The sequence below is a fragment of the Homo sapiens genome, chromosome 3 (assembly GCF_000001405.40).
Source record: "Homo sapiens chromosome 3, GRCh38.p14 Primary Assembly".
Classification (NCBI taxonomy): Eukaryota; Metazoa; Chordata; class Mammalia; order Primates; family Hominidae; genus Homo; species Homo sapiens.
In genome coordinates this window covers 47,487,065-47,494,702 of record NC_000003.12, presented here as the reverse complement: position 1 = coordinate 47,494,702, position 7,638 = coordinate 47,487,065, and the positions used below count along the sequence as shown (strand labels likewise).

General features: G+C 46.0%; 2 annotated features.

The window, feature by feature from the left end:
* Window positions 5,489-5,988: an enhancer, noted in NCBI's record as "H3K27ac hESC enhancer chr3:47530205-47530704 (GRCh37/hg19 assembly coordinates)". NCBI's record gives its function as "activates a minimal SCP1, AML or CMV promoter by ChIP-STARR-seq in primed H9 embryonic stem cells {active_cell/tissue: H9 hESC(primed)}" and the evidence as "EXISTENCE:reporter gene assay evidence [ECO:0000049][PMID:30033119]".
* Window positions 5,989-6,490: an enhancer, noted in NCBI's record as "H3K27ac hESC enhancer chr3:47529703-47530204 (GRCh37/hg19 assembly coordinates)". NCBI's record gives its function as "activates a minimal SCP1, AML or CMV promoter by ChIP-STARR-seq in naive and primed H9 embryonic stem cells {active_cell/tissue: H9 hESC(naive and primed)}" and the evidence as "EXISTENCE:reporter gene assay evidence [ECO:0000049][PMID:30033119]".

Here is a 7,638-nt window from a genome sequence, read left to right as displayed (position 1 = left end):
TTTTTTTTTTTTTTTTTTTTTTTTTGAGATGGAGTCTTGCTTTGTCACCCAGGCTGGAGTGCAGTGGTGGCATGATCTTGGCTCACCACAACCTCCGCCTCCCGGGTTCAAGCTATTCTCCTGCCTCACCCTCCCAAGTAGCTGGGATTACAGGCACGTGCCACTGTGCCCAGCTAATTTTTGTATTTTTAGTAGAGATGGGGTTTTGCCATATTGGCTAGGCTCGTCTTGAACTCCTGACCTCAGGTGATCTGCCTGCCTTGGCCTCCCAAAGTGCTGGGATTACAGGCATGAGTCACCATGCCCAGCCTCTTTTCTTTGTTTTGAGACATGGTCTCTCTCTGTTGCTCAGGCTGGACTGCAGTGGTGTGGTTATAGCTCACTGCAGCCTCGACTCTCTGGGCTCAAGGGCTCTTCCCACTTCAGTCTCCCAAGTAGCTGGGATTACAGGTGCGTGTCACCACGCCCAGCTCATATCTGTTGTTTAATTTTAACTTTTTGGATTTTTAGTCTTTAGGAAAAATTTATCACACTTCTCTTCAAATCATACCATTGTGTATGTTATCCGTCTGAAACAGTAAGCTGCTTTTATTCTCAAAATACTGTAGACCTGATAGAATATTTGAAAGTTATGAGTGCAATTAAGAGAAAGTAGTTATTAAAGAATCTAATGATTCTTTGACTAAGACTTCATTATTTATGCAAACTTCGTTTGAGCTACGATTTTGAATGGGCAAGGCACCATTTTTTACATGACATAAATGTTGCTATCATGTTTCTTCACTTAGTTTATAGATGTTTTCACTATTTTTTTTGAGACAGGTTCTCTCTGTTGCCTAGGCTGGAGTGCAGTGTGGCACTTCTTAGTTCACGTGAATTCCAAGTGATCCTCCCCTACCTCAGCATTCTGAGTAGCTGGTACTACAGGTGCCCACCACCATGCCTGGCTGTTTTTAATTTTTTTGTAGAAACGGGGTGTCACTTTGCTGCCCAGGGTAGTCTTGAACTCCTGGGCTCAAGAGATCCTCCCGTCTCAGCCTCCCCTTAAATATTTTATGTTTAATAGCTATTGAGGGCGGGGCACAGTGGCTCACGCCTGTAATCCCAGTACTTTGGGAAGCCAAGGCGGGTGGATCACCTGAGGTCAGGAGTTCAAGAGCAGCCTGGCCAATATGGTGAAACCCTATCTCTACTAAAAATACAAAAATTAGCTGGGCGTGGTGGTGGGCACCTGTAATCCCAGCTACTTGGGAGGCTGAGGCAGGAGAATCACTTGAACCCAGGAGGCGGAGGTTGCAGTGAGCCGAGAATGCACCATTGTGCTCTAGCCTGGGCAACAAGAGCAAAACTCAGTCTCAAAAAAAAAAGCTATTCAGCATTTTATGCTATCATTATATTCTAGTTTGTTTAGTTATCCTCTGGGCATGTAGATTCTGGTTTTTACAGTTATCAATTATGCTGTTATAAATTTTATATACTCTACCTATTGCGGGTGGGGATAAGTACTTGTTTGTTTAGAACCTGACAAACCAGGTCACTGGCAGAGCTCATAGAACTTACGTTCTGGAAGAGAAGACAGGCAATCAACAGAATCGACAAAGGACATATTTAACTTAGACCACAATAAGTGCTATAAATAAACCAGCACAGGGGCCTGTGAGAAGTGAGGGGTGATGACATTTTAGTCCATACCCTCTAATGGAATTATTGAATTACAGCAGAAACTGGCCCTGGCACATTATCAGGTTGTTCTTCAGAATGATGGAGCCAGTTGACAATGATGCAGAGATTTTGCTCTGTCAACTTTGGGTTTAACTTATTTTTAATTAATTTAATAGTGGTGGTTGTGTGAGAATGGACTAATACAGGGGTAGAAAAACAGGATCATAAGGTGTGATATGGTCCATAAAAATGATTCTAGTGTGAAATGGACATTTCTTTAATCACTAGCATATAATTTTCTCTGTATTTTTCCGTGTGTACAGAATCTGTTCCTTATCCTTGCTTACTTATCAATTAAAACCTGGTGTTGGTCGGGCATGGTGGCTCATGCCTGTAATCCCAGCACTTTGGGAGGCTGAGGCAGGCAGATCACTTGAGTCCAGGATTTTATTTTTATTTATTTATTTATTTTGAGACAGAGTCTTGCCCTGTTGCCCAGGCTGGAGTGCAGTGGCGCAATCTTGGCTCACTGCAACCTCCACCTCCCGGGTTCAAGCGATTCTTCTACTTCAGCCTCCCGAGTAGCTGGGACTACAGGTGCCTGCCACCACGCCCAGCTAAGTTTTTGTATTTTTAGTAGAGACGGGGTTTCACCATGTTAGCCAGGATGGTCTTGATCTGCTGACCTCGTGATTCGCCTGCCTCGGCCTCCCAAAGTGCTGGGATTACAGGTGTGAGCCACCGTGCCCAGCCAGAAGATCTGTTTTATAAAAAGGGTTATAAAGATAAAAACAATCCTAAAGGCTGGGCATGGTAGCTCATACCTGTAACCTCAGCGCTTTGGGATGCTGAGGTGGGAGGATTGCTTGAGGCCAGGAGTTTGGAGGCCAGCCTGGGCAAAATAGCAAGACCCTGTCTTGAACAACAACAACAAAAAGCTGGGCATGGTGGTGTGGTCCCAGCCACTCGGAAGGCTATGGTGGGAGGACTGTTTGAGCTCAGGAGTTCAAGCCTGCAGTGAGCTATGATCAAGCCACTGCACTCGAAGCTGAATGGCAGAGCGAAACTGTCTCAAAAAAAACCCAAAACCGGCCGGGCGTGGTGGCTTACGCCTGTAATCCCAGCACTTCGGGGGGCCGAGGCAGGCAAATCACGAGGTCAGGAGATCAAGACCATTCTGGCTAACATGATGAAACCTCGTCTCTACTAAAAATACAAAAAATTAGCCAGGAGTGCTTGCAGGCGCCTGTAGTCCCAGCTACTCGGGATGCTGAGGTGGAGCTTGCAGTGAGCCGAGATCACACCACTGCACTCCAGCCTGGGCGACAGAGCTAGACTCCATCTCAAAAAAACAAACAAACAAACAAACAAAAACCCTGAAACCAAAAACCAAAACAATCCTAAAGACTGCTGTAGCCTAATGAGAGGTTGATATAGTTTGGGTCTGTGTCCCTGCCCAAATCTCATGTGGAAATTAATTCCCACTGTTGGAGATGGGGCCTGCTGAGAGCTGATTGGATCACAGGGGTGGATTTCCCTCTTGGTACTGTCCTGAGTTCTCATGAGATCTTTTGTTTAAAAGTGTGTAGCACTTACCCACCGCCACCCCAGACCCCATCTTGGTCCTGCTCCTGCCATATACGACACCTGCTCCTGCTTTGCCTTCCACCACGAGTGAAAGCTCCCTTGAGGCCTCCCCAGAAGCAGATGCTGCCATGCTTCCTATACAGCCTGCAGAACTGTGAGCAAATTCAACCTCTTTTCTTTATAAATTACCCAGCCTCAGGTATTTCTTTATAGCAGTGTGGGAATGGACTAATACAGGGGTAGAAAAACAGGATCATAAGGTGTGATATGGGCCATAAAAATATTCTACTAACATGAGGCTGATGTTCATAGGAAAGAACAATTATTTCCCCCTAATTTTTTTTTTCTTTTTTGTTGCGGGCACAGAAAATTGGGGAAGAATTTATGGGGGCAGTGCTATTTGAACAAGACCTTGTAATGTTCCTGTTTCATCTCTGATGGTGTCTTAATTCTTCAGGACTCAAAAATATGTTTTTCTTTCTCACTGGAATGAAGTTGCTATTCTGTGCTTTCTAGTGTAAAATAATTTTTAAAATATGGATAACATTTCAACTCATTTAAAATTTGTAGGCCAGGTGCAGTGGCTCATGACTGTAATCCCAGCACTTTGGGAGGGTAAGACAGGTGGATCACGTGAGGCCAGGAGTTCAAGACCAGCCTCATCAACATGGCAAAACCCTGTCTCTACTAAAAATACACGAATTATCTAGGTGTGGTAGTGCATGCCTGTCATCTCAGCCACTCAAAAAAAAAAAAAAAAAGAAAGTAACTTTTCTTTTTCTCTCCCCTCCCCCCACCTTTCTTTTCTCTTCTCTTCTCTTCTCTTCTCTTCTCTTCTCTTCTCTTCTCTTCTCTTCTCTTTCTTTTCTTTCTGACAGTGTCGCTCTGTCACCCAGGCTTGAGTGCAGTGGTGCGATCTCGGCTCACTGCAGGCTCTGCCTCCCGGGTTCATGCCATTCTCCTGCCTCAGCCTCCCGAGTAGCTGGGACTACAGGCGCCCGCCACCACGCCTGGCTAATTTTTTGTATTTTTAGTAGAGACGGGGTTTCACTGTGTTAGCCAGGATGGTCTCGATCTCCTGACCTCGTGATCCGCCCGCCTTGGCCTCCCAAAGTGCTGGGATTACAGGCGTGAGCCACCGCGCCCAGCCAAGAAAATAACATTTTTGGAGAGTATCTAAAATTTTTTTCTTTATTATTGGTCTTTATTTCCGGTCACTTCGTGATATCAGTTTTAATAGTCCTTTTCTGAAATAGTTATTCATTCTACTTGTTTTCCTGAAAAAAATTTTGCGTTCATATTTATAATAAGAGACTTGTATCCAGAATATGGAAGGAACTCTTAACAACTGAATAAGAAGAAGACACTTGCTGGATGTGGTGGCTCACGCCTATAATCCCAGCACTTTGAGAGGCCAAGATGGGTGGATCACAAGGTCACAAGCTTGAGACGAGCCTGGCCAACATAGTGAAACCCCGTCTCTACTAAAAATACAAAAGTTAGGGCATGGTGGCACACGCCTATAGTCCCAGCTACTCAGGAGGCTGAGGCAGGGGAATTGCTTGAACCCAGGAGATGCAGGTTGCTGTGAGCCGAGACTGCCACTGCACTCTAGCCTGGGCAACAGAGCGAGACTCTGTCTCAAAAACAGAAAGAAAGAAAGAAAGGGGTGGGGGGAGGGGGGGAAGAGGAGGGCAGGGGGAAGAAAGAATAAAAGAAAGAAGACACTTGCCGGGCACAGTGGCTCATTTCTGTAATCCCAGCACTTTGGGAGGCTGAGACGGGTGGATCACTAGGTTAGGAGTTCAAGACCAGCCTGATCAACATGGTAAAACCCCATCTCTACTAAAAATACAAAAATTAGCTGGGTGTGGTGGTGCGCACCTATAATCCCAGCTACTTGGGAGGCTGAGGCAGGAGAATCACTTGAACCCAGGAGGTGGAGGTTGCAGTGAGCCGAGATCACGCCATTGCACTCCAGCCTAGGTGACAGAGTGAGACTCCATGTCAAAAAAAAGAAGAAGAAGAAGACACATAATCCAGTTAAAAAATGGGCAGCAAGCTGGGCATGGTGGCTCATGCCTGTAATCATAGCACTTTGGGAGGTCGAGGCAGGAGAATTCCTTGAGGCCAGGAGGTCAAGACCAGCATGGACAACATAGTGAAATCATGTCTCTACAAAAAATTTAAAAAAAAATACCTGTGTGTGGCCAGGCGCAGTGGCTCACGCCTGTAATCCCAACACTTTGGGAGGCCGAGGCAGGCAGACCACGAGGTCAGGAGATCGAGACCATCCTGGCTAACAAGGTGAAACCCCATCTCTACTAAAAAATACAAAAAAAATTGGCCGGGCTCGGTGGCGGGCGCCTGTAGTCCCAGCTACTCAGGAGGCCGAGGCAGGAGAATGGCATGAACCCAGGAGGCAGAGCTTGCAGTGAGCTGATATTGCGCCACTACACTCCAGCCTGGGCAACAGAGCAAGACTCCGTCTCAAAAAAAAAAAAAAAATACCTGGGTGTGGTGGTGCATGGCTATAGTCCAAGCTACTCAGGAGGCTAAAGTGGGAGGATTGCTTGCACCCAGGAAGTTAAGGCAACAGTCAGTGAGCAATTATTGCACTACTGCACTCCAGCCTGGGTGATGCAGTGAGATGCTGTCCTATTTTTTTGAGACAGTCTTGCTTTGTCACCCATGCTGAAGTGCAGCACAATCTCAGCTCACTGCAAGCTCTGCCCCCCAGGTTCAAGCAGGTCTCCTGCCTCAGCCTGCCACGTAGCTGGGACTACAGGCATGCACCACCATGCCCAGCTAATTTTCGTATTTTTAGTAGAGATGGGATTTCACCATGTTGGCCAGGCTGGTCTCGAACTCCCGGCCTCAAATGATCCACCTGCCTTGGCCTCCCAAAGTGTTGGGATTACAGGCATGAGTCACCGTGCTTGGCTGAGACCCTGTCTCTTTAAAAAAAAAAAAAAAGGCGGAATATTGGAATAGACATCAAAGCAGACATCGGAATGGCTAACATGCGTATATAAGTGCTCAACATTATTAGGGAAGTACAAATTAAAACCACAGTGAGGGCTGGGCACAGTGGCGTGTGCCTGTAATCCCAGCACTTTGGGAGGCCGAGGCGGGCAGATCACAAGATCAGGAGTTCGATACCAGCCTGGCCAATATGATGAAACTCTATCTCTACTAAAAATACAAAAATTAGACAGGCTTGGTGGTCCCAGCCTGTAGTCCCAGCTATTCGGGAGGCTGAGGCAGAAGAATCGCTTGAACCCAGGAGGCGGAGGTTGCAGTGAGCCAAGATCGCGCCACTGCACTCCAGCCTGGGTGACAGAGCGAGACACCATCTCAAAAAAAAAAAACCACCATGAGATACTACTACATAGCCACTAAAATGGCTATATCAAAAAGACTGACAGTAACAAGTGCTGACAAGGATGTGAGGAAATAGGAACCCTCATATCATACATTGCTAGTGGGAATGTAAAATGGGGCAGTCACTTTGGAAAATAGTTTGGCAGTTTCTTAAAATGTTAAACCTAGGCTGGGTGCAGTGACTCAAGCCTGTAATCCCAGCACTGGGAGGCCGAGGTAGGTGAATCACTTGAGCCCAGGAGTTTGAGACCAGCCTGGCCAGCATGGTGAAACCCCATCTCTACTAAAAATACAGAAAATTAGCTGGGCGTGGTGGTACACGCCTGTAATCCCAGCTACTCAGGAGGCTAAGGCACGAGAATTGCTTGAACCCAGGAGGTGGAAGTTGCTGTGAGCTGACATCGCGTCACTGCACTTCCAGTATGTGACAGAGAAGACCCTGTCTCAAAATAAATAAATAAATAAATGAATAAATAAATACTATATGACTCAACCCATTCAATTCATAGCTATCTACCCAAAAGAAATGAAAACAAAGTTCTACACAAACTCTTGTGTGGTGACAAAAGTGACTCCATCTTGGATGCTAATTTGCCATGTTGACCTCAGATTAACCGCAGTCCTGTGAATGCCTCCTGATTCCTTGTTTATTTACTGTCTTTAATGTAAGAATATGTACTCACAATATATCCTACCTTTAGGTCAAAGCAACCTTGATGTTATCACGCAACTCATTCTGGCCTGTTCTAGAGGGTTGCCTTTCATTGTCTCTATAGTGCACATACCCTTTTTCCTGTGGTATATAAGTCCCGGGTCTGGGGAATAATGGTGTGGAGATCTACCTGACTTGTTGCTGACCAAGACCATGCTTGTGTCCATAAGTTCCCTAATAAATTGCCCTCTGCTGATAAACTGGATTTGTCTGCCTTGTTCTTTGGTTTCTCAGCTCCTTCTGCATTTGGGGGTCATTTCGCATATATGGCCCTTTCATGGAATAACTTGCAT